This window comes from Homo sapiens, chromosome 13 (assembly GCF_000001405.40).
Source record: "Homo sapiens chromosome 13, GRCh38.p14 Primary Assembly".
NCBI lineage: Eukaryota > Metazoa > Chordata > Mammalia > Primates > Hominidae > Homo > Homo sapiens.
Window position 1 is genome coordinate 52,825,875 of NC_000013.11, and position 25,159 is coordinate 52,851,033.

General features: G+C 47.7%; 1 protein-coding gene across 2 annotated transcripts, besides 6 other annotated features; it reads right to left on the reverse strand.

The window, feature by feature from the left end:
* Positions 12,576-13,077: an enhancer, noted in NCBI's record as "H3K4me1 hESC enhancer chr13:53412585-53413086 (GRCh37/hg19 assembly coordinates)". NCBI's record gives its function as "activates a minimal SCP1, AML or CMV promoter by ChIP-STARR-seq in naive H9 embryonic stem cells {active_cell/tissue: H9 hESC(naive)}" and the evidence as "EXISTENCE:reporter gene assay evidence [ECO:0000049][PMID:30033119]".
* Positions 13,078-13,577: an enhancer, noted in NCBI's record as "H3K4me1 hESC enhancer chr13:53413087-53413586 (GRCh37/hg19 assembly coordinates)". NCBI's record gives its function as "activates a minimal SCP1, AML or CMV promoter by ChIP-STARR-seq in naive H9 embryonic stem cells {active_cell/tissue: H9 hESC(naive)}" and the evidence as "EXISTENCE:reporter gene assay evidence [ECO:0000049][PMID:30033119]".
* PCDH8 (protocadherin 8) lies at positions 17,015-22,766 on the reverse strand. Of its 2 annotated transcripts, none has more exons than NM_032949.3 (3): positions 20,223-22,766; positions 19,551-19,758; positions 17,015-19,059 (listed from the first exon to the last, which is right to left on the reverse strand). In NM_032949.3, the coding sequence occupies exons 1-3, from the start codon at positions 22,560-22,562 to the stop codon at positions 18,686-18,688; spliced, it is 2,922 nt and encodes a 973-aa protein (NP_116567.1). In that variant the 5' UTR covers positions 22,563-22,766; the 3' UTR covers positions 17,015-18,685. The 2 variants fall into 2 exon arrangements, with proteins under 2 accessions (NP_116567.1, NP_002581.2); NM_002590.4 differs by having other exon boundaries at positions 19,932-22,766.
* Positions 20,951-21,839: an enhancer, noted in NCBI's record as "H3K27ac-H3K4me1 hESC enhancer chr13:53420960-53421848 (GRCh37/hg19 assembly coordinates)". NCBI's record gives its function as "activates a minimal SCP1, AML or CMV promoter by ChIP-STARR-seq in naive H9 embryonic stem cells {active_cell/tissue: H9 hESC(naive)}" and the evidence as "EXISTENCE:reporter gene assay evidence [ECO:0000049][PMID:30033119]".
* Positions 21,840-22,729: an enhancer, noted in NCBI's record as "H3K27ac-H3K4me1 hESC enhancer chr13:53421849-53422738 (GRCh37/hg19 assembly coordinates)". NCBI's record gives its function as "activates a minimal SCP1, AML or CMV promoter by ChIP-STARR-seq in naive H9 embryonic stem cells {active_cell/tissue: H9 hESC(naive)}" and the evidence as "EXISTENCE:reporter gene assay evidence [ECO:0000049][PMID:30033119]".
* Positions 22,860-23,154: an enhancer, noted in NCBI's record as "tiled region #8019; K562 Activating non-DNase unmatched - State 24:Quies". NCBI's record gives its function as "activates a minimal TATA promoter and a strong SV40 promoter by Sharpr-MPRA in K562 cells {active_cell/tissue: K562}" and the evidence as "EXISTENCE:reporter gene assay evidence [ECO:0000049][PMID:27701403]".
* Positions 24,500-24,794: an enhancer, noted in NCBI's record as "tiled region #8029; K562 Activating non-DNase unmatched - State 13:Ctcf". NCBI's record gives its function as "activates a minimal TATA promoter and a strong SV40 promoter by Sharpr-MPRA in K562 cells {active_cell/tissue: K562}" and the evidence as "EXISTENCE:reporter gene assay evidence [ECO:0000049][PMID:27701403]".

The window sequence follows — 25,159 nt, forward strand, 5'->3', positions numbered from 1 at the left end:
GTTGTTCTCGTGATAGTGAATAAGTCTCAGGAGATCTGATGGTTTTATAAAGGGCAGCTCCCCTGCACACACTCTCTTGCCTGCCATCATGTAAGATGTGCCTTTGCTCCTCCTTTGCCTTCCATCATGATTGTGAGGCCTCCCCAGCCATGTGGAACTGTGAGTCCATTAAAACTGTTTTTCTTTACAAATTACTCAGTCTCAGGTATTTCTTTATAGCAGTAGTGAGAGGTGAAAACGTGCTGGCAGCCCTTGCTCACTCTCAGCACCTCCTCGGCCTCGGCGTCCGCTCTGGCCACGCTTGAGGAGCCCTTCAGCCTGCCGCTGCACTGTGGGAGCCTCTCTCTGGGCTGGCTGAGGCTAGAGCCGGCTCCCTCTGCTTGCTGGGAGGTGTGGAGGAAGAGGTGCCGGCGGGAACCTGGGCTGCATTCGGCGCTCGAGTTCCGGGTGGGCCTGGGCTCTGCGGCCCCTCACTCAGAGTGGCTGGCCGGTGCCGCTGGCCCCGGGCAGTGGAGGGCTTAGCACCCGGACCAGCAGCTGCAGAGGGGGTGCCGGGTCCCCCAGCACTGCTGGCGGGACCACACCAGGCTCGAATTCTTGTGGGGCCTCAGCTGCCACCCTATGGGGCAGGGTTCAGGACCTGCAGCCTGCCATGCCCGAGCACCCCCGCAGTGGGCTCCTACGCAGCCTGAGCCTCCCTGATGGGCGCCACCCCCTGCTCCACGTCGCCCGGTCCCATGGACTGCCCAAGAGCTGAGGAGTGCAGGCGGGAGGTGCGGGAGTGGCAGGCAGCTCCACCCACAGCCCTGGTGCGGGATCCACTAGGGGAAGCCAGCTGGGCTCCTGAGTTGGGTGTGGACTTGGAGAACCTTTATGTCTAGCTAAAAGATTGTAAATACACCAATCAGCACTCTGTGTCTAGCTCAAGGTTTGTAAACGCACCAATCAGCACCCTGTCAAAACAGATCAATCAGCTCTCTGTAAAATGGACCAATCAGCAGCATGTGGGTGGGGCCAGATAAGGGAATAAAAGCAGGCTGCGGAGCCAGCCCCGGCAACTCGCTTGGGTCTTCTTCCACAGTGGAGACTTTGCTCTTTAGCTCTTTGCAGTAAATCTTGATGCTGCTCACTATTTGGGTGCGGACTGTCTTTTTGAGCTGTAACACTCAAGGGGAAAGTCTGCAGCTTCATTCCTGAGACCAGCAAGACCATGAGCTCTCCAAGAGAAATAAACAGCTGCGGATGTGCCGCTGTAAGAGCTGTGACATTCGCCGGGAAAGTCTGCAGCTTCAGTCGTGAAGCCAGCGAGATCATGAAGCTACCAGAAGGAAGAAACTCAACACGTCCGAATATTAGAAGGAACAAACTCTGGACACACTATCTTTAAGAACTGTAATACTCATCGCGAGGGTCCGTGGCTTCATTCTTGAAGTCAGTGAGACCAAAAACCCGCCAATTCCGGACACAGTACGAAAGTGGACTAATACGGGCTGGTGTGAGTAAAGCTGCCCTGAACACTCGGGGACAAGTCTTTGTGTGCATGTATGTTTTTATTTGTTTTGGATGATGTCTTTCTCTCTTTGTAGAGGGCAAAATTATTTCTAGAATCCCCGGACCAGACTTTCACTTATGTATCATTGGCCAGTCCTAGTCACCCTCTCATCTCCAAACCAATACCTAAAAAAGGAAATGGAGGCACATTGGAGCAATCCCTTGACATCCTTTGGGGTTGGGGGATTGAGGTCCTCGCAGGAGCGAGTTGCCTCCCTGAATAGTCAGCCTTACCAACACAGGAAAAAGGAAGGAGTAATTTTTGGGTATGCAGCCATCCGTGTCTGTCACATTACTTTACCCGTGAGTATTTTTACTACAGAATATAGTAGTAGCATTATTTACATTTCACAGTGAGAGTCTTTTCTCTGACATAAAGGTGCTTAAGCAGATCCATTGCCAAGAGATATTCAACAATAGTCGTAGGAATAAGCAGAGAAGAGACAAACATAAAGTTGACAGAAAGAGAATTGCTCTGGGGAATATGATATGAGGGCACAAGCATCATATGGAGAGAATTTTACCAACTGGCTGCCAGATGTGGGCCTGCCCTGGGCTGAGGCACAGCTGGTCTGCCCTACAGTAAATCAGATGTGGGAGGCAAGTGCCATCTGGCACGTAAACTTGGCAGAGCCTGGAAAGACAAGTGAACTCACGTGTGAAGTACTTATTATTATGGATGAACATGAGCAGAGCTCTGGCACCAGCAGCAGGGCGAGCAGTTTCCTTCACCTAGGGTCTTAGGTCTCATCTGCTGCTGCCACAGCGCGGCCAGCCGAGGGACTCCCTGGCCCTCAGCACCTCTTCTCTGGTCGAGGCTGACTTTGCTTTAGTTATGAGGAGCTAAGGAGTTTGGCCCTTTAATTTCAGCCCTGATTTAGCATTTCTGCCCTTTCTCACTTCTTCCCTTGTACTCTCTTCCTAAGAGTTTGTTTCCCTTTGCTAAGCTTCTCAAGTGCAGGGACCAGATCTTGCATATTGTATTCGCTGTTTCTGCTCCTGGCATTCTGCCTTGCACAAAGTAGGTGCTCAACAAGGCATTGCAAAAATGTCTTCGCCACAGATAAAGACCAGAGGGAAGTATTGTGAAAGTGGTATTTCCACCCTCCACTGTTTGCATCTATTTCCAAATACCGGTTGATTGGTAACATCTAAGACGGATCACAGCAAATATTGTACATGTTTAGTGCACAATTCGGTTAACATTGCCCTAAAAGATTCCATTAACCATAATTCTGATATATCCACTACTAAGAATCGTAAAATGTTCGAGCTGAAAGGCACTCTAGAGATGAGCATTTACGAGGCCCAGAGATTTGAAGGACTTGCACAAGGCCATATTGGAAACAGAACAGAACAGTTATCTATAACCCACTTTATTCCTGCAAGAATTTAAACTGGGTTTTAAGGATAAATAAAATATAAGCCAGCAAAATTACAATTAGGAACAAAAGAACGTAACTTAAAAATGAGCTTGAGAGTAAGATCAAAATAGAAATATATACCAAAAAGGGAGCCTGCAACAGGTTAGCCCCAAACTTGGCTCTAAACATCTATATATCAAAACAGGAAAAGAAACGTGGTTACGTACAACTTTCATGATGTGTATGAAAGTAAAACAGACCAGTAGCTCCTAGAAGTCTAATCACTGTTGGTACCAGTACTTGACAGGCATCAGCCATAAAAAGAGCTCCGTGGGTGGCCGGGCGCGGTGGCTCACGCCTGTAATCCCAGCACTTTGGGAGGCCGAGGTGGGTGGATCACAATGTCAGGAGATTGAGACCATCCTGGCTCACACGGTGAAACCCGGTCTCTACTAAAAATACAAAAAATTAGCTGGAGGTGGTGGTGGGCACCTGTAGTCCCAGCTACTCCGGAGGCTGAGGCAGGAGAATGGTGTGAACCCGGGAGGCGGAGCTTGCAATGAGCCAAGATCGCGCCACTGCACTCCAGCCTGGGCGACGTAGCGAGACTCCGTCTCAAAAAAAAAACAACAAAAAACAAAACTCCGTGGGTTATAACAAAGGTCCTCAACAGTATCCCAGTGATGCACAGAAAAAGCATCCCTTAGTGCAGGGATGGTAGCTGATGGCAACTAAGCAAAGCTCATTCTGGAAAAAGCACTCTATGTGGGCGTAGGGGAGAACTGAGAACCAAATCCAGGATTACCAGTCGTAGAAAAAAAGTTTGCCAAATTGAGATGTGAAAGAATTGAACTCAGAATTCTGTGACATCAGGAATACAATAATAATTACTGTTCTTAATTATGACCCAGAGGCACTGTAGGCTCCAAAGTATTTTCTGAATCATCTAAGAAAATTTTTTTTAATTTCAATCTGGTTTCATATTAATTTAGAACTTAATTAGCTACTATCATCTGTTCTAGCTGTTATTTCATATGTTTGTTTTATTCCCTTCAATTAGATTGTCATTTTCTTGAGGGCTGGGGTCTGCATATAGGGAAAGTGCCAACTTACTTGACAAATGTAACATGAATCCCCTAAAGTTGACTGTAGAGGTGAAATCTCTGCATGAGGAAGGACAGCTGGACTTTTTAGCCCTGATTCTTTTGAGCTCTTTGTGAATTTCTGTTTCTATCATGAAAATAGGAGGTGGTACTGCTTTCTCCACTAATACCATCTCTTATTCCAGTCCCTTAATATCCCATGGCAGATTTGAGACTAATTTTGAATATTAAATAACACCTTATAAAGAGGCCTAAAATAATAAGAGGAAAATAAATACAGCATGTGAAACTACAGAATCTAGCTTACAACCATTACCAACAATGACTAACATCAACATCAACAGGTACTGACAATATAATATAAGTATTTGGAACCCAGATCTGGAGCCAAACTATTTGGGTTCAAATCCTAATTCTACCATTTACTAGCTGTTTAACTTTGGACAGGTTGCTTAACCTCTCTGTGCCTCATTTTTCTCATCTTTAAAAAGATAACTGTACTTATCTCACAGAGGTATTGTGAGGGTTAAATGAACACTTATAATAGTGCTTGAACATAGTAAATATATATTGGCTATTAATGTTATAACTAGGCACTTTTTATAAGCCACACACTTTATATATAATATTTGTTAATTTAACCTTCACATGATGCTCTACTTCAGTAGTTCTCAAATTTTTGGTTTGTAACACTCTTGAAACTTATTGAAAACTCTGAAGAACTTTTGTTTATGAATGTTTTATGTATATATACTTACTGTATTAAAATTAAAACTGTGAGATTCTTAAAAATATTAATAACTAATTTAAAATGATGAGCCCAATACATATTAACAAAATAATATAATTACTACAAAAAATAAGTATCTTTTCAAAACAATTTTATGAGAAACGGGCATTATTTTACATTTTTACGAATTTCTTTAGTGTCTGGCTGAATAGAAGATAATTGGATTCTCATAATTGCTCCTGTATTCAAGCTGTTGCAATATGTTGTTTTGGTTTAAGTATATGAAGAAAATCCATTATCATACAGACATGTAGTTGGAAAAGGGAAGAGTATTTTATTAGCCTTTCATTTAATTGTGGCCCTCTTTGTGATCCGCTATACCAAAACTTTACAAGTGGTAGTATTTTACAGATTAGTGGCCCTGGAATCTGAAACCAGATCAATGAACTTTTCATCCCTTGTTACATTGGTCTGTCTTGCACTTTAAACAGATCATTTACCTATGCATGACTTTGTGACATCATCCACTGTCCACTGGGAAAATACTGATTCACTGAGTCATGTAGATCAACTAAATTTAGAAACATTAACATTTGTTAGTATTATTACCAGCAGAGAGCTCTGTCTTTTCTTTCTTTCTTTCCTTATCTCTCTCCCTCCCTCTCTCTCTGTCTCTCTTCCTTTTTGAGATTGGGTTTTGCCATGTTACCCAGGCTGGTCTCGAAATCCTAGGCTCAAGTGATCCCTTCGCCTCGGCCTCCCAGAGTGTTAGGATTACAGGTATGAGCCACTATGCCCAGCTGGGCTAGTGCTTTTCCTTGAGACAACCATAGTGCTTCTGAACACAGCAGAAATGTTCTCTGCATACTGTCCATTTTGTCACACAGAACATTAGTGTTAAAAAGACATATACTCAATGGTTGAGATTTAATGAAAGTAATACTTATTACTGATTCATCAAGGTCATTCTTAAGGACTTTTTTCTGTAAGTGCAAGAAATCCAGTGATTAGTAGTGTGGCACTCTTATTTTGATTGGTGCTAGGGCACCAGTAGTAGTTTCACCCACTCTTTCTTTTGTATCATCAGAGCAAATGTCAACCCAGTGAAAAAGGCAAATAACATAGTAGTATTATGAAAATTGTTTTATCCTAGTGGACCTTCCAGAAGATTCTAAAGAATCTCCAGAAGTCCAATGATTGTACTTTGAGAAACACTGCTTTAACCTTCTACCTCCTCAGGGTTACTGCAAGCCCATCCAGAATCTTTTACATCCAGACCTAATAGACTGAGAACTAGTCCCGTCTCAAATCTACCTAAAAGCCACTGTATTAGTCAGTTCTCACACTGCTACAAAGATACTGCCCGAGACTAGGTAATTCGTAAAGAAAAGAGGTTTAACTGACTCACAGTTCTGCATGCCCAGGGAAGCCTCAGGAGACTTACTATCATGGCAGTAAGGGGAAGCAGGCACGGCTTACATGGCAGCAGACGAGAGTGTGTAGGAAGCAAAGAGAGAAGATCTCCTTATAAAACCATCAGATCTCATGAGAACTCACTCACCATCATGAGAACAGCATGGGGGAAACCGCCCCCATGATCCAATCACCTCCCACCAGGTCTCTCCCTCAACACCTAGGGATTACAATTCAAGATAAAATTTGGGTGGGGACACAAAGCCAAACCATATCAGCCATAATCTGAATTCCCCTTTTCTGTCTCTTCCTTAGATTATTTGGTGCTTGAAAGGATAAGGCCCTTCAAAGTGAAAAGAGATCATGTTTACTCACAGGAGCATGGCCATATTAGACTGGGTGTGAACATCATATAGTCAACATCCATAAAGAGGTGCCTACAGGCAGTGCCAGGGAGGATGCTCATTTATGTTGTCAGCGCCCTCTTAGAGACAGATCCTGGCCTAGCGCCAAGCCCGTTGTAACATAAACACTGCCCTGTAAGGGTTGTTCTTGTACTCTCCACATCAGCAAAATGGGAATGGTGGCGCCAACACTGAAGTGGTCTTTGGAGAAGAGATGGGCTTTCAGAGACATCATCTATCATCCCAGACCTTCATATGCTTCTCTCTGACGAGATTACCCATGTGTTCATATCTTCAGTCTGTGATCATGGCCACCATTCATATGCTGATCTTTATCCTATTCAGAGCAGTGCTCAGTTGGGGGGTAGGAAGGTGGGGGAGAGAATGGGGGCAGTGTTATATTACAAAATAAAGACCTATGGAAACCCCGGGCAAGATAATAAATGGAGTGATCTTTCAAAGCAGGACTATTTTGTTGTAGTTGAAAATAAAAACAAATATATGACAAACAATTGTGTGCCCCACTAACCAGAATTGACAAATGCGAATGTTTTGTCATATTTATTGTAGATCTATTTAAATAAAAGAACTAAAATATTACAAGTAAGATTTTAGTCCCCTAAGCCTATATTATTTAAATATTCATTTCACATTTATTTTGAAGAATGGCAGAGTGCTGTGTGAGGAAAGTGCAGAGGAAGATAATCACCCTCTCCTCCTAGCAGTTCAGCTTTCCCCAAATTCGCCTGCCCACTCTGCAAACAAAAGCAACACAATTTATGATAGTTGCCCCTTGGAAGGCAGTTTAGCAGCCAACCTCCCCTGCACCCCAATGTGCCTGAGCCCCCCTTTCCAAAATGCCAGCCACACAGGACTCCTTCTGAGAGGAGTTCTGGAAATTATAATTTTCTGGATCTCGTTGCATTTCATGGGAGTTTGGAAGCTCATTATAAATTGGTTTCCCATGCAGCGGCTGGGCCTGCACATTCCTTTTGTCTGGTTGGAACTACTTAAGCCTAGCAATCCCCACACGGATGACTTGGTCAAGCAAATGGCAATTGTCTGTGTCTACAGCTTCAGGAGTAAGAGAGAGCACAAACAACCTAGTTTTGCTTTTTTTTTTTTCCCTCCCCACATCTCCACAGCTACAGTAAATCAGATCGCCTGACATTTCTTTTTAGCTGTGTCTGAATCTAATGCCCTCAGCCTAGAAATTTCCGTTATATCAGTCAGTGCATGGCAAGAGCAATGGGCTTCTCTGATTAGTGAAGCTGAAGAGTAGAAATGAATCACAGTGCCTTTGTATTCTAGAACATGAGTCTGGGATGAATGAATGCGGGAGGTTGGCCAAAACAACCCCAGCGACTCAATTCTTAAATTATTTACCATGAACATAAATCTGGGGACTTATGATGAATAAATATCTCCATTTAATAAGCATTAAAGGAAGGTAAGGTGGAAAGCCTAAGAAGGGGCTGGGAAGCCACCTGCTTCTGATAATCTCAAAATCTCAGTCTCCCTCTCTGTATGATGGACCGCTTATCCTCATCGGCTCTCCTAGGGCTATTGTGAGCAGTATATTTTAGAAGTGACTGAAGGTGGTTTGGAAAATACCTTACAACATATCAAAAGCAATTTCACTGGGGCAAGACTTGGGCTTTATACCATAAAAGGAGAAAATAACAGCCTTAGTCTCCCAGATCAGCTAAGCATCCAATCAGGGAAGCAGGAATTATTCTGGCTCTTTCAGAAAGTTGGAAGGAATTGAGGGGCTCTTACAAGTCAACTGGGATAAGAGCTAGAGTGCTAAGCTTTCTGTCATTTGAGAATCAGGTAAAGCAGGACAGGATCCTAAGAACATCTAGAGAGTGGAAGAAAAAAATGCACCAATAATTTGCATAAAGTCATTGTACTAGTCAGGGTTCTCTAGAGAAACAGAACCAATGGGATACATACAGGTATATAAGAGGAGATTTATTATGAGAATTGGCTCATGTGATTATGCAGGTTGAGAAACTCCACAATATGCTGTTTCCAAGTTAAGAACCAGGAAAACTGGTGGCGTAATTCAGTCCTTGACCAAAGACCTGAGAACGAAGTGGGAGTAGGGGGTGGGGGAGGTGTCTACTGTTGTCAGAACCAGGTACTCTGATGTCCCAGGGCAAGAGAATATGGATGTCCCAGCTCAGTAAGAGAAAACTTGCCTTTCCTCCACGCTCTTGTTCTATTCAGTTCCTCAGTGGATTGGACGATGTCCACTCACATTGTTAAGGGCAAATCTTTACTCAGTCTATTGATTCAAATACTAATCTCTTCCAGAAACACCCTCACAGACACACCCAGAAATAATGTTTTACTATCTGGGCATCCCTTAGTCCATCCAAGCTGACACCTAAAATTATCATTAAAGTCATCAACTAATAGGCTTGGGAAGAAACTTAGGAGCGGCCTGATTCAACCTCCAATCCAGATGCCTTCTACTCCCACCTCATTCCATTAGCTGGTTGTCTAGTCTTTGCTTGAAAGTTTCCAGTAACAAGGATTTACCACCTCTAGAGATAGCCCATCCCAGTTGTGGGTATCTTACGTCATTATGGATTGTTTACCAAGTCTCCCTCACAAAACATTATTGCATTGAGTCCCCTCATCTGTGACTCCTTCCTCCCTGAACATGCCTCAGTTGCTCTGTGTCCCTAACAAGGTGTACCACTCAGAGCTGTACTTGGCACTCCAGAGGGGGCTTGGCCATCTGTGTGCAGCAGGGACTGCTTATCAGCAGACTTCTCTATGCTCTCTTTGCTGCCTCCTGTACCTCCTATCTGAGTGCTGTGATGGGGAGGGGGAGGGGGGAAGGGGGAGGAGGTAGGAAGTGGTGTTGATGATGCCTTGGTAGATGAGATAAGGGTCCTGCCTTTTTAACTGTAACCTCCACCCTCACCATTTTACCCCTTCTCTACTCAGGGGTTTTATGCCTGCTCTTTGTGTTTGTGACAAGCATAGAATTGTCAGAGAAGTTTGAACCAGAGTGACTTCATCTTGAATAGGGGCTGGATAAAATAAGGCTGTGACCTACTGGGCTGCAATCCCAGGAGGTTAGGCATTCTAAGTTACAGGATGAGATAAGAGTTCAGCATAAGATACAGTTCACAAAAACCTTGTTGATAAAACAGCTTGCGGTAAAGAAGCTGGCCAAAGCCCAGCAAAACCAAGATGGCAATAAAAGCAACTTCTGGTTATCCTCACTGCTCATTAGACACTAATTATAATGCATTAGCATGCTAACAGACACTCCCACCAGCGCCATGCACCATGGCAGTTTACAAATGCCATGGCAGTGTCAGGAAATTACCCTATATGGTCTGAAAAGGGGAGAAGAGGATCTCTCAGTTGCAGGAATTGCTCACCCCTTTTCTGGAAAACTCATGAATAATCCACCCCTTTTTTAGCATATTAACAGGAAATAACCATAAAAATAGCCAACCAGCATCCCCTGGGGCAGCTCTATCTATGGAGCAACAATTCTTTATTTCTTTTCTCTTTCTTCTGTCTCTCTCTCTTCCTTCTTTCTTACTTTCCTTTCTTTCTTGACTGAGTTTCACTCTTGTTGCCCAGGCTAGAGTACAATGGTGTGATCTCGGCTCACTGCAACCTCTGCCTCCCAGGTTCAAGTGATTTTCCTGCCTCAGCCTCCTGAGTAGCTGGGATTACAGGTGCCCACCACCACGCCCAGCTAATTTTTGCATTTTTAGTAGAGACAGGGTTTCACCATGTTGGCCAGGCTGGTTTCGAACTCCTGACCCCAGGTGATCCACCTGCCTTGGTCTCCCAAAATGCTGGAATTACAGGCGTGAGCCACCACGCCCAGACTGTTCCTTTACTTTCTTAATAAACTCACTTTCACTTTACTCTATGGACTTGGCTGAATTCTTTCTTGCACAAGATCCAAGATCCCTCTCTTGGGGTCTGGATTGGGACCCTTTCCAGCAACAGAATCAAACATTCTGAAGATAGTGATTGAAGATTATATTCTATATCTGGGTAAAACCTGACCAAATCATAGCAAGTCAGAAGGTATCTTGGCCCAACACTGCACAATCTCTATAGTGCAGTGGTTCTGAAAGGGTGGTCATTGGACTAGCAATATTGGCATCACCTGTGGACTTGTTAGACATGTCAGTTAAAGGATCCTGTCCCCAAACTATCATATCTAGCAATGTGTGTGTGTGTGTGTGTGTGTGTGTGTGTGTGTGTTTAGAGATGGGGTCTCACTCTGTTGCCTAGGCTGGTCTCAAACTCCTGGGCTAAAGTGATCCTCCTGCCTCAGCCTCCTGAGTCTCTGGGATTGCAGTTGTGAGTCACTGTGCCCAGTGCAATCTGTGTTTTAACAGCCCCTCCAGGTGATAGTGATTTGAAAACCACTAATAGACTAGATGCTGTGGTGGCCCTCCCCACATGCATGCACTTGAAGAACCTGTGTACTCCTTCCTAACTATTATGGCTGCAAGAGGCTCATGGTAGCTCTTTTCTTTTCTTTTCTTTTCTTTTTTTTTTGAGACGGAGTCTCGCTCTGTCGCCCAGGCTGGGGTGCAGTGGCGCGATCTCGGCTCACTGCAAGCTCCGCCTCCCAGGTTTACCCCATTCTCCTGCCTCAGCCTCCCGAGTAGCTGGGACTATAGGAAGCCACCACCACGCCTGGCTAACTTTTTGTATTTTTAGTAGAGACGGGGTTTCACTGTATTAGCCAGGATGGTCTCAATCTCCTGACCTCGTGATCCGCCTGTCTCGGCCTCCCAAAGTGCTGGGATTACAGGTATAAGCCACCATGCCTGGCCCATGGTAGCTCTTTTCTTGAGAGAATTGCCATTAACCAAACATGGAGCCCCCTTGCCATGGGAGTATTGGCAATGCATCCCTGCTCCCCCATCCAGAGGCCAGTGACTGACATGGGGTATAAAAAGTCTGGCCTCTTGCCTCAAGGGATGACCAATTTGTGCTCCAGAGCTCTGGATGAGGCCAGGCTGATACAAAGACCACCATTTCTTGAGATTCTCTCCTATCCTATCCTGCTTGCTTCTCTCTCTCTCTCTCTCTTAAGAGACAGGGGCCTTGCTATGTTGCCCAGGCTGGTCTTGAATTCCTGACCTCAAACAATCCTCCTGCTTCAGCCTCCCAAAGTGCTGGGATTACAGGCATAAGCCACAGAGCCTGGCTGCTTCTCTTTATTTCTGTGAGCACTTCCTCAATAAATGATTTTTATAAGAATCCCTATCCCAGACAATGTTTTTCAGGAATTTGACTGAAAACAATAATACAAAATTGAGGAATTGAAGGAAGGATTTTTTAATAAAGATGCTTAAAAGTTCCATGTGAGTACTTGAAAAATGACTAGATAATTATGTAGAATGTGATTTTTACTAACTCTTGTTTGTAGACATAGTTTGGGAGATGCACCACCACAGACACAGAGAGGAATACCAGGGACAGAATGGTGACATTGAATTTCTTTAGCTGACTGAGTCCTTAGCATTCCAGGAAGCACTTAAGCATCTTCATTAGTTCATTCTCCAACCTTCAGTGAGGGTGGTGATTAAGGACTTTGGGCTGATAAGCAGAATGAATCATAACGAGGTTAAATGGTGGCTGAAAGTCGGTGGCTGAAAGTCAGTTGCTGAATAAAAATGAGATTCTACCCCCACCCTCATAACCCAGCACTTTCTCTGATGATCTAGTGACATTCATTAGAAGCAAATCCTCACTCCTCTACTGCTATTTTCCTAGAATTGACAGGAAGAAAATTTGGCCAAATAAAATAAGAAACTAATAACACTTAGCAAAGAAAACCATCTGATGTTTTCATCAACTTTAGGGTATGCTGTGTTTGCAAAGAACAAAGTAGAGATTTGACAATTATCTGGATTATTTGGGCTGCATGGGTTAAGGTACCCAAATGGACTAGACTATATCAATCTCTAGATACATGAGACCCCGCAGAAACTTCTGGGCCTCTTTTAAGTTGGGTCTAAAAAGATGCTGCTGCACTAAGGCAGGAAGAGGGGAAGGCTTGACCTTCAGTGGGTAAGGTGACTTGGACTTGGCCAGGGCTGTTGTTGCTCCTGCATCCTCCAAACACTCCAGTCACTAGACTAGCTGGGGTGGATGAGAAGCTGAATCGATTGGTTGTGTCTGATTCGGAGGCTTATTTAGCTCCGACCCCCTGTGGGGAGATAAGGTGACTGGTGGTTGTAGCCTCTTGGCTATGGTGTATAACTATGACTTTCTGTGCTTAGCTCAGGGAGTCATTCCATTCAGCAAGCACTTTTTTTAATTGAATCCTGATGATGTACCAGCCAGTGTACCTGGTGCTGGGGATACCCATTTGAATGACACAGACAGTCCTTGACTTCATGAGCCAGCAGTGAAGCAACAGTTGTCCTCAGCTGGCCCCGTGCTGAGGCTTCACAGAGGGGCAGGGCTCGCCTGGCTGTTGGCTGGGAGAGGGGGTTGGGGAAGGCATGGCACAGAAATCTTTTCTAGTAAAGCGATTCTTAAACAGTCTTGAAGGATAAGAGGAATGGTTCAGAGAAGAAAAAGTGTGGGTGGGGAGAGTGGGAGAGGAAGTAGAATGCCATTCCAGGAGGAAGGATCAGAAATGAGAGGTGAAACAAAGTAATTCTTCTGGCTGAAGCATCAGGTGTGTGAAGGGCATGGGAGGGAAGACAGCAGTGGGATTGAGGCTGAGGAGGGAGGCAGGGCACGAAGGGTCTGAGATGCCATGGAGGCAGGGCACGAAGGGTCTGAGATGCCATGGACAGCACTTTGGACTTTAAAGGTGATGTGAAATCATGAGAGTTACAAGATCAGGTGTTTAGAAAAAGATCTTTATGGCAGCAGTGTAGAAGACGGAGTGGAGGGAGACAGGCAGTGGACACAGAGACAGCAGATAGAAGATTTATGCTAGAACCCAAAAAAGAAGCAATGAAAGTTGAATGCAGTGGTATGATTTAGTCTGTTTCAGATCTTGATTTTAATTCCAACTCCATCTAACATTAGCTGTGTGACCTGTGGCAATTTACCTTACCTCTCCAAGCCTTGTTTTTTCCATATATAAGATGGTTTAATGTACAGTTGGGGGTATTAGATAATACCCATAAAGTGCTTGGTGAAGTTTTGGAACATGTATTCTCTGTTTTTTTTTTTAGATGGAGTTTCACTCTTGTCACCCAGGCTGGAGTGCAATGGCACAATCTCGGCTCCCTGCAACCTCCGCCTCCCGGGTTCAAGTGATTCTCCTGCCTCAGCCTCCCAAGTAGCTTAGACTACAGGCATGCGCCACCTTGCCTGGCTAATTTTTGTATTTTTAGTAGATACGGGGTTTCACCATCTTGGCCAGGCTGGTCTCGAACTCCTGACCTCATGATCCACCCGCCTTGGCCTCCCAAAGTGCTGGGATTACAGGCGTGAGCCACCGCACCTGGCGGAACACAGTATTCTCTTAAAAAAAAAAAAAGAAAGAAAGAAAACCCTTATTCCTATTATTATGCAGCCATCCTAACTTGGACCGTCCTCCTATACCCAGACACTGAAACAAGGACTTGGGTGCAGGTAGTTTATTTGGAAAGTGATCCCAGGAAGCACAAGCGAGGCAGTGAGGAAAGTGAGCAGGGAAAGGCAGGAAAGCCAATAAAGGAGGTGTTACTGGGTGGGCTGCTGCTGTGGGCGACTGAGGCTTATGTTTCCTGGAGATGCTCGTGGGAACTGTGCAAATCACAGCTCAAAGTGATTCCTTTGAGAGATGGGAGAGCTGGGATATTTAACCACCAACTCCTATCGCTCATTGGTTGAGGGTTGCTTCTGCAGATCTTAGTACTTCCAGGCTGCTCTGTGCAGAGGTTGAACAACTTTCAGGTGGGGCCGCAAGCGCTCAGCAAGTCTGCAGCAGCAGAGATGGGTGCTTGAGAAGGAAACTGCCATAGTGCAACTGGAACACTGCAGTTGAGGTAGACTCAGATGTCAGCAATGGGAACATGGACAGAGCATCATATCTGCTACAGTGAAGTGAAGGGACAATTAAACAATATTTGGAATGTAGACAATAGATCTTGATGAGTGATTGGATCATTGAGGGGTAAGAAATAGGGTAGAGTCTTAAAATGACTTTTGCATTTCTAGTTTTGTCTAAAATTTGCAGTCCCATTTATTGAGTTTAAAACAATTGCCAGAGGAGTAGTTTTGGCCATAGTGATGGCAGAGAAGAGAAGTTGCTTTTCATTTGGGCATCCTGAGTTGGAGGTGTCTGTGATATAGCAAAGTGTCACACTAAGTTGGCAAATGGAATTTTCCTAATTCCATATTGAACTATGCAGGCTTCAGTTTGACATGTTCGAAATTCTTTAAACAGATTTTGTGGGAACAAATCCTGACTCTGATAATGAATGATTTCCCCTCTGCACATTTAATCTGGTGGTTTAAGTGATGGCTTTTAAAATAGCCTGGTGTCTCTTTCTACCTGCTGTTCACTTATTAGTTGACTTTGAACCTGTTGGTGAATTCCATTGCAGATTGTCTCTCCCTGAAGAAAGGGAATAATAAACACCCTTTTGAGTTATTGCATAGCTGTTGAAAACCAAGACAGCATTTCAAAGCTCTTCTGAGTTGTTGCAGAGCACAGTGCCCCATCAACTATTGTATTTCTTTGCTTCAGTTTGCTTTCAGAGCTTACAGCATTCCAATTATCCTATTATTGGATATTCAGTAGTAAAGTGAATATGCTCGTCTTCTAAAATGGAATTTTTAGATGTTAAAAGTTTATATTTGCCAAGTGAAATAAGCCAGATATTTAGCTCATTATGGCATGGAACTCATCCTGATTATAAATATATATTTTTCTCTCTGTATGTATGTGTGTGTGTGTGTGTGTGTGTGTATATATATATTTGTATTTAGAGACATGATTCCTGTTTTTGCTCTATTTCAGAATGCATTTTTCAATAGATGTTGAAACCACTAACAGTTTAACTTTCTAAAGTGGTTTCCTTATAGATATTTTATTATAGGAAGACGTGTAGAACATCCAAGTCAATGGGGCCAGAGACAAAAATGTGAAACAGGTAAAGCCTGGCTTTAGCTTTCTCTCTTGAGGTGACCTCTGTCTTCCCCATGGGCTTTCTCATGTCCCAGTATTCACTGCTAAGGTGCCCAAGGGTTGTTGGCCTCTACTTCCAGAGAGGTATCTGTGTTATAATCACAAACCTCTAAGGCTTGTGATTTTGCCAATGATATTCACCTTAGCTGTGCTTGTTTGTAAAGTGTTGGCTACACATGAGGCTCTGGACTACTTGGTGAAAGTGGAGGGAGTGAAGACAGCAAAACAGGGTCAGAGCAAGGCTGGGCATCCTGGGTCTACTTTGTCTTCCTCAGTGGGTGGGGCGGTGCTGATAGTACTGTGGAGACTGGCTCCAGAAGAAGGCAACGAAAGAGGAAGTAGGATAGACTGTAGTGGGAACTTACTACAGGCCAAGAATTGTGCCAAGAATTCTGCATATGTATTATCTCACTTAATTAAATAAAGCAATATATTTTCTTAAAAATGTGCTTGAGAGTAAACATTTCTGGAGACAAGTGAAAAGCCTCCCACACACAGCTCCTGTTTCTTGGAGAGTTCCTGCTGCTGGCCCATAGAGGAACACCCCAACCTTTTTTGTTTAAGCAAACAATGTTGAGGACTGAAATTGTGTGTTTGATTTTTTTAAAGTTTCAAATCAAAACAAGATCTGATAGTGGTTATTTTGCTAAGGGAAAAAATGATAGTAAGTCAGAGGTTTTGAAACCCAAATTTTTGGAGTAACGAAATAATTCGCACGGTACAAAATAAAATAATGACAATAACATTATTTTACTTTTGAAGGACAAAAGCAGCAAACACATTCAGAGACTGGATGCTTTTAGACTGCAGTGGGATCATTCATTCTTCTATTTTGCGTTTGATGAGGCTGGCTCGAGAATAAAGTTTTAGATGTTATAATGGTAGGTCTACCTGGGAGTCTGTTCCCCTAGGGCCTGGCCATCATGGCTCTGGAGCTGTAATGTTTTCTTTCGGAACCCACGGTCTGGGCGGTCTGAGCTTGTCAGGCGCACGTGCGACTCCGTTGCCTGCAGAAACGGCTGAACTTTGCACGGGCTGTGGGTGGTGAAGCACTTGTGTGTACCCACCCTGCTGTTCAGCCTGGAGCTACCACTGGTTTCAATTATGACTTCAACAGGCAGCTTTGAGGCCTTCTCTATTCATTACACTGCCGCACACTCTATAATTAGTAATAAAGGAACACAGGCACTTCACAAATATAAAGGGCTAAACAGTAATCATGCAGCAAAGGCAATGCATTGGGACTTTTCTACATAACTCCTTGTTTCTTTCAGGTAAAAAAAAAAAAGCAAATCAAAAACAACTTGTTTCATTACTTTGTTTTATTTTTTGCACTGAATAACCTAGGTTTGAATCTCACCCTGGATACTTATTAGCTGTGTGATTTTTGGCATTTTATCTAACCTTCTTGTGCCTCGGTTTCTTTAATTGCAAAATGGAGTTAATGATACTTCCCATATCCTGGGGGTAGTTTGCTGATTAAATGAGATAATTCATGCAGAATGCTTGGTAAGGAGCTCTGCTCACAGAAGACTTGCTCAGTAAATGTTAGGTCTCATTATGCTTATCATCATTTTAATTTCAAATGAAATCCATAGAGTATAAGACATAGGCATAGTACTCTTGAGTGTCTTTTTTTAAGACTTTCCATTATGTACATTTTCAAACACAAACATTTAGAGATACTGCTGAAATTTCCCTACCTCACATGCACCTATGCTAGCATTGACAATTATCAATATCTTATCAAATCGATCTTGTTTCACATAGCTCCCTGTGTTTTTTTCTAGAACATTTTAAAGCGAATCCCAAACATCATGTCATTTTGCCCATAAATTTGAGTGGAATAGAGCTGATAGTTACTTTGGAGACTGGCTCCAGAGGAAGGCAAGGAAAGAGGAAGTAGGACAGAATGTAGTGGGAACCTATTATATTCCAAAAGACTAAGATGTTAGTCTTTTTGATACTAACACCCCGAATAAGCTGAGGGCTCTTTGGGACTACGTCTTCTTCACCTCAAACTCCAGCTTGAGGAGGAGGTACCAGCAGCTAGTAAAAGTTCTACAGATGCTTGTTTAATTAGTGAATGAACAACCCAAACTTAGCTTTCTTCACTTTTTGGTGGCTGCTCAATGAATATTTACCTAGTGAATAAATGAGAGCAGGGATTTTATAGACTAATACATATGGAGATGCACATAATTTATGAAATCAACACACGTTTTTAATACTTGGGTGACATTTTGCAATACTTGAAATCCTACAGGTTTAATATTGTCATGAACATTAATAATGCCCAAATAATTAGCACTTGAAAGAAGGTTTCATTCTGATACTCAAATTATTTGTGAATGTCTGACTATAGGCAGCTTCATGAAAAGCAATTGGCAGATTCTTCAAACACATGACAAATCTTTTATTACTGTGCTTATAAGTGACACGGTTTACGGAAAACCAAATGTAATTAAATAACATTGAACTTGAAATCTACCACAGAGTCAAGATATACAAGTTATACTTGGCAAGGCAAAATTTCTCAAACACTAGGTTGTTTCAGGTGAAAGATAAATTTCAATTAAGTAATTCCAACATGTTTTGTTTTTTGTCTTACAGACAGTTCCTTTGGCAATAACTTCCACTTTAGCTTTTATTATATAAAAATATAACAAAATTTCATTATATACAAACATTACATTACACAATGTACAGGTTAAAAACACTAAGAAAATGGCAAGCCGCAATTGAAATCAAAGTCAATAGCATAAGAAAAATTAAATACTGCACACATTTCATAAAAATTACATTAACTACATTTTTGTTTGCAAATACCAAACAGTACCAATGTGATTGGAAATAGCTTCCAACAACTTCATTGTAAGGCACATCTTGCATATTTATATATACAACACTGAAACCGGTCAATAACTTAGGGGCTTCTCGGAGTGACCTGTATATGTGTGAAGACATGCAGCATGGGATTACACATTTTCATTGGCTCCCTTCTTCGGGGACAGGTACCTGCCAGGAGGGGACTGGTAGAGGGGTACTCCAATCTCCTGCAGGTCTGGGAGCCTCCCTGGACGGGGAGGGGAGAGCAGAGTGACTGTCCTGTCATAGTCTCTGTGCAGTACTTTCTCATAGACGCTCTGCAGCCCCACTGTCTTGGGCAGCTGGGCCTGGTAGTAATTGTCCCTGCGCAGAGGATCCCGAGGCAGTGACGTGCTCTTACAGAAGGTTGACATCTGGGCTGGTGGGTGAGGCGATGGATGTGCGTTGGGCCCGCTGCAGGATGGGCTCCAGCAGCGGTCAGAGTGGCCCAGGATCTTACACTCAGCGGTGCACGCCCACAGTCCTAATACGAAAGGGAAAAGGAAACAGCATGACGATTATTCCTGAGATTATACATATTCAGGCTTCCATCTTCAGCATGTCAGCCTGGGTCAGGGCAGCTGAAAGGAAAGGCTGTGCGCATAGATATACACCGTGTCTCAAGAATCGAAGGCACATTGCTTCCTGTAAAGCCATCTTAATGCAAAGCTGGTCCAGCTTCTTCAGCTGGAAGTGAAAAAAAAAATTGATAAGCAGAACCCACTTTTTAATGGCTAGCATCACCCATGCTGCTGCCTAACAGGATGAGGGTGTGTTTTATTCAAGAGCTGGAGTTGCCTCGACTTGGCATTTTGAAATTCACCGTGTGAGGCAGGCCCGTATCCGCAGCTGTAGGAGTGAGAAAAAGTGGGGAAGAGGGAAGGGGGCTGGGAACCGAGATTGAGAGGAGGCAAACAGTGGTGAAGGGGAGGGAAGGGAGGAATGCCGAATTTGGCGGGAAAGAAGAGTCCTCACCACTCTGCATGTGGTTGATGAGATCCTTTTTCAGAGCGTCCCCGCTGATGTCGGAATCGCTGTCGTTGAAATCACTGTCCCCTTTACCGCTGTCTTTGCCGCTGAACTTCTCTGCTTCTCTGCCAGAAATGGTGTTGAAGGAGTGTCCTTTCCACACCGCCACAGGGGGCGCCGGCTCCTTTCCAAAACCCGGGGAGGCACCGTAGGGCTGCAGCAGGGAATAGGGGAATGGGAGTGGGGGGAGGGTTGGATAAGAAACAAACAAAAAACAAGTGCGACAGGTTGTCTACCTGAATGCACCCACCCTACCCCTCCAGTCTCCCTTCCCCCAGCCTGTCCGCGGAGCTCGGAGGGGGGCGCCCAGCCGAAGGAAGGCCTCACCTCGGCGTGCGCGCCGCGGAGCCGCTGCTGCCCCTCGAAGTGACAGGCGCTTTCCCCAGTGGCGCTGCCGCCCTCTGAGCCCGGCACTTCGGCCGCGGCGACCGCAGGCGGAGGCGCGTCCGCCGCGGGGCTGCCAAAGGGCGCTTTGCCGGTGCCAGGGAAGGTGAGCACGTCGAACATGTTGGGCCTGGGCCCGGCTCCCCGGGCGGCCTCCTCCGGGGAGCCGGGAGCCGAGGCTCCGCCGCCCGCCGCCCCGGGCCGCTCTTCCCGGAGGGCCCCCCCTTTGCGCACCTCCTTCTTGCGGCGGTTGCAGGTGGTGGCGATGGCGATGATGGCGGCCAGCAGCAGCGTGCAGCTCCCGGCCAGCACGATGATGACGATCAGCGGCGTGTCCCATTGCAGCACCGACCCGGACACCCCGAGCCGAGAGCCAGGCGGGCGGGAACGCTCCGGGCTTCCTGCACTGGCAGGCGCAGCCGGCCCACGCCCGCCCCCTGCTGTTACCACGAAGCTGACAGTTGCGGTGGTGGTGAGCGGGGGACGGCCGCCGTCGGATATGACCAGGAGCGCCCTGAACACGCGACCGGGTGGCTCCTGCGAGAGGTCGCCGGTGAGCAGTATCTCCCCCGTGCGGCGGCCGATGGCGAAGGCTTCGCGCGGCTCCTGCTGCTGCAGCTCGAACGCCAGCTCCCCGTTGGCTCCCTCGTCTGCATCCCGGGCCTGCACACGGGCCACAACCGTGTCCTTTGCGGTGCGCCCAGGCACCGCCACTTCTAGGGAGCCATTGGCTGGCGCCGGGTGCACCAGGACTGGCGCATGGTCGTTCTGGTCCAGCACGCGCACTTGCACTAGGGCGCTGCTGGAAAGCTGAGGGGAGCCGCCGTCGCTAGCTTGGATGCGAACGTCGAGTTGGCGCAGCGTCTCATAGTCGAAGCTGCGCAGCGCGTAGATGGCTCCGGTAGCTGGGTCCACCGAGACATAAGTGGACACGGCGCCCCCGGCGCGGCCCACCTCGGCCTCCAGCAGCCGGTAGGTGACCTGGCCGTTGCGGCCCAGGTCCCGGTCGCGGGCGGCCACCGTGGCCAGGTAGGCGCCTGGCGGGTTGTTCTCGCGCACCGACACCTCATAGACCGGCCGCGTGAAGAGCGGCGCGTTGTCGTTCTCGTCGCCCACACGCACCGTGTAGGGCCGCACTGTGCGCAGCGGGGGCGCGCCGCGATCCTCGGCCACCAGCGTCAAGTTGTACTCGGCGATGCGTTCGCGGTCCAGCGACGCCGCGGTCACCACCAGGTAGCTGCCCGCGTAGGCCGGCTGCAGCCGGAAGTGCTCGTGCCCATAGAGGGCGCAGCGCACTTGCCCGTTGGCGCCCGAGTCCCTGTCCGAGGTGCTGACCAGGGCCACCAGGCTCTCGCGCGCCGCCCCCTCCGGCACCAGCGAAGTGGCACCAGCCTCCGGCGTCCCGGCTCCCGCCGGCGAGCTAGCGTCCGCTCCCCCGAGTGCAGCGGCGGCGGCGGCAGCGGCGAAGGGTGAGGTTGCCGGCGCGCCTGGGGCGGCCAGCGGGGTGATGGCGATGTCGGGTGCGTTGTCATTGACGTCTCGGATGCGCACGATGACCTTGCAGGTGGCAGCGCGGGGCCCGGGTCCGCGGTCCTGCGCCCGCACGTCCAGCTCGTAGGTGTCCTGACGCTCGTAGTCCACGGGCCCGGCCAGGGTGAGGCGGCCTGATCGCGGGTCAAGCCGAAAGAGGCGGCGCGCCTCCGGCGGGGTGCGGGCGCCAAATGCGAACACCACGTCGCCGTTAGGTCCCTCGTCGGGGTCGGCTGCGTCCAGGTCGAGAAGCAGGGAGCCCACGGGCGCGTCTTCCGCCAGCTCCACTTCGGCCACGGCGCCCTGCGGGAAGGCCGGGCTGTGGTCATTCGCATCCAGGACGCGCACGCTGAGGGCAGCCGTGGCGGAGCGCGGCGGGCGGCCGCCGTCCTGGGCCACCAGCTCCAGGCTGTAGGCGGCCTGGCTCTCGCGGTCCAGCTCCTGCAGCAGCACCAGGTCTGCGCACTGAGCGCCGTCCGCTCGCGTCTGCAGCTCCACGCGAAAGGGGCTGTGCGGCTCGGCCAGGCGCACGGTCTGCAGCCCGTTGGCGCCCACGTCCTCGTCCACCGGCACCTCCAAGGGGATGCGCGTGCCCACTGCCGCACCCTCGGACACCTCTACCGGGATCTGGGCCCTGGGGAAGCGCGGCGCGTGGTCGTTGACGTCCCTCACCTCTACCTCCACGTGCACCAGCCGGAACTGCTCCTGCGAGAAGCTGACCACATCGAAGGCCAGCACGCACTGCGGGGCCTGGCCACACAGCCGCTCGCGGTCCAGGCCGGCGTCCCCGACGGTCAGCTGCCCGTCGCCTTCGCGCACCCGGAGCAGAGAGCTGTTGAATTGCTTCATCAGGCGGAAGCTTGTGTCACCCGATACTTTCATATGCAGGTCCTCGGCCAGGGTCCCGATGACCGTGCCGGGGGCATCCTCCTCGAAGGTGCTGTATCGGACTGTTTTGCTCTGGGCCACTGAGAGCACCCAGCAGAGGCTGAAGAGCTGCAAGGGGAAAAGGCAGGGGCTGCCCCAACGCCTCACAGGACTCATGCCTCCAGCCTCAAGTGCGATCCGAAAGGCTAAGGAAGTCTTCTCTGGTTTCCAGGTCGGGCGTCAGTCTCAGGCTCTCGGAATCACGCTCTTTGCGAGCCCTGTGCGGGAGAAGTCTGCGGGTAGCAGCTCCGAGCCTCCAGCGGGCTCTGAGGACGCGCGGACCCGCCCTCACTCTGCGCCTCTCCGTCTCTTACAGAAGCTGCGCCGCCTCGCGCCGCCTTTGCCTTTATAGCCGCCGATATGCTAATCACCCGAGCCGGGTAGCCAATGGCCGCCTCCCCCTCGCGTCGCCCCTCCGCCTGCCTCTGACAATCCCTTTAATGTGGAAAGGCTTAGAGGGGAAAACAAGAAAGGAAAATTAGGGAATCTTTCTTTTGTTTAACTCCTTTTGCTTTTTCCCCCTTTTCTTGTCAGCACCCTGCATGTAGAGGAGTTGGCACAGGGCTCCAGGAGTAAAAGGAGCGGATGGTTTTGTTAATTGTCGCCTGCCTCCCTCCGTGCCGCGGCTAGAACTAAGTGCGAACACGCTGGGGTTTCACCCCAGTGGCTCCTGATTCCGCCTTCCCCCAGCCCCTGCCAACACACACACTCTGCATTTTGCACCTCTGACGCTTCCAAACCCTTGCAGCCCCCTACCCACAGACTTGCTCTGCTGAATGAGGCTCTGCTTTCCTTCTCTCCTAGCTACGGTGCCTGGAATAGCCTCTCGATTAAGAAGCCTGAAGGATAAGGGAAAATTGATTTTATTCAAATTTGTGTACTCAATTGTGTTTTGCTCGTGTGAGCCCCAGTGATCAGAGCTGCCACTTCCCTTTCAGAAAAGAGCCCCGCGATATGTTAGTATGCACGTCACTGTCCAAGTGGCCTTCTTAAGCCCTGGGAGCTAGCAGGCAAGGAAAAAAAAGTTCCAAATAGGATTTAGCATAAGCTTGAGGAGATTTGGAAAGGTTTCAAAGATCAGACTGTATCAAAGGCTTATGAAGCCCTCGTTAGCAGTGGAAATAGAATGGTGTGGCAGGCGATCCCATTGGAGGCCCCAATGTCTGTATTATTTCACTGTGACAAGCTAAGGGGAGAGAAAGTTGAACAGTTTCCACAGCGGAGTTGGACTAACTTGAATATAATGAGCAAACGCCACATGTATCCATTATGTTCCTCTATTCATCCCCAATCACTGCCATAACTCTCCGGCTAAACGGTGATGGGCGCTGAATTCCACACAATACCCGGCTCGTATTAAAGTGCATTTAGAGAACTTTTTCCTCCTGATGCCTTGTTCCGCCTATTTAGAGGATTTTCTTTCTGTTCTAATAGGGCCACTCTGGGAAGCAACACTCGTCCGGTTCCAGAAGAACAAAATCACAGCGTGACGTTGAAACCTGGCAGGAACGTGGGGGGAACTTAACCATCTGCTTAGGAAAGTGTGGAGCTTCGGCACTGCCAAAATCTGGGCTGGGCGGATCCTGGGGCTGGCCGGGCGCTGCGCTGCCCCACAGATAGCCCCCTCCCATCCCTGACGGCCAGGGAGATGGAGCTCGGATCTGCAACAAGACGGATTCTTAATGATTCTTACTGAAGGGCTTTATTGAGCAGGCTATGCAAATACACACGAAGGAGGAAAGGTAAAAAACAAAAGCCACTCACTGGAAGAAATTTTTCTTTTTAGGCGATAGGTTTGGTAAGTAGATTGAATTCAGTAAACATTCTTCAGAATCCCGATTTTGGTCCTGCTGTCAGCGTCCTATCCATGTTTTCCTTTCCCTCAAACTCGAGGGAGTGTGTTTTGGGTTTTTTTTCAGAAGAGGGTCAGGAGTTTCCTTGGAGTAGGGAGACCAAGCAGGGAGCTGGGTGGCAGGGATGAGAGGTGCTTGGAATTGTCAGAGAGCGGAACATGCAGCTCCAGCCATCCATAAATACAAGCTCTTATAAGACTGGGGAGGGGGATGATGAGTGGCTGGAGACTTCCTCAGAGGGGTGTGTCTCTGGGTTCCCTTCTCCACCTCTTCCACCTTGTAGTCTTGGGAATGCTAAAAGCAATAAGGCCAGGCATCTGCAGCCGCGTGGGGACGTGGAAGGAGGAGCGCCCCCTACAGGAGCCCAAATCGCAGCCCTTTCTTCCGCTGTCTTCCATCTCCCAAGTGCGATTTAGTATGTAGCCCTCCCACCGTCCCCGCCCAAGAGATATTCCTTGGGGGGTACACGCAGTCGAAGGAACTTTCTATTTTCCTTCCGAGCCCCGCAACACTCCCACCCCAACCTGGGGCTGGCTGGTGACCTTTAGCGCCCCTAGGCTAACGTCATCTCTCCTCACCCCTCTTCCCCCGGAGACCCAGACGGGAACAGGTTCAGAACTTGGCTGGTGGACAGCGGCCTCAGCGCTTCCGCTGGCGTACCCAGGGCAAGGTCAGGCCCGCCTGGCGCTGCTGCTGCCGGGCGGAGGACCCGGAAGGTGGGGAAAGTGGGTGGAAATGGGGCCGGAGTCCCAAAGGAAGGGATTTCAGCGGTTTCCGCGAGCACAGCCCGGCCGCGAATGGCTGGGACCCGGACCTCGCGCCAGCGCCCCCTGCGCATCTGCACCCCGCAGTTCTGGGCTG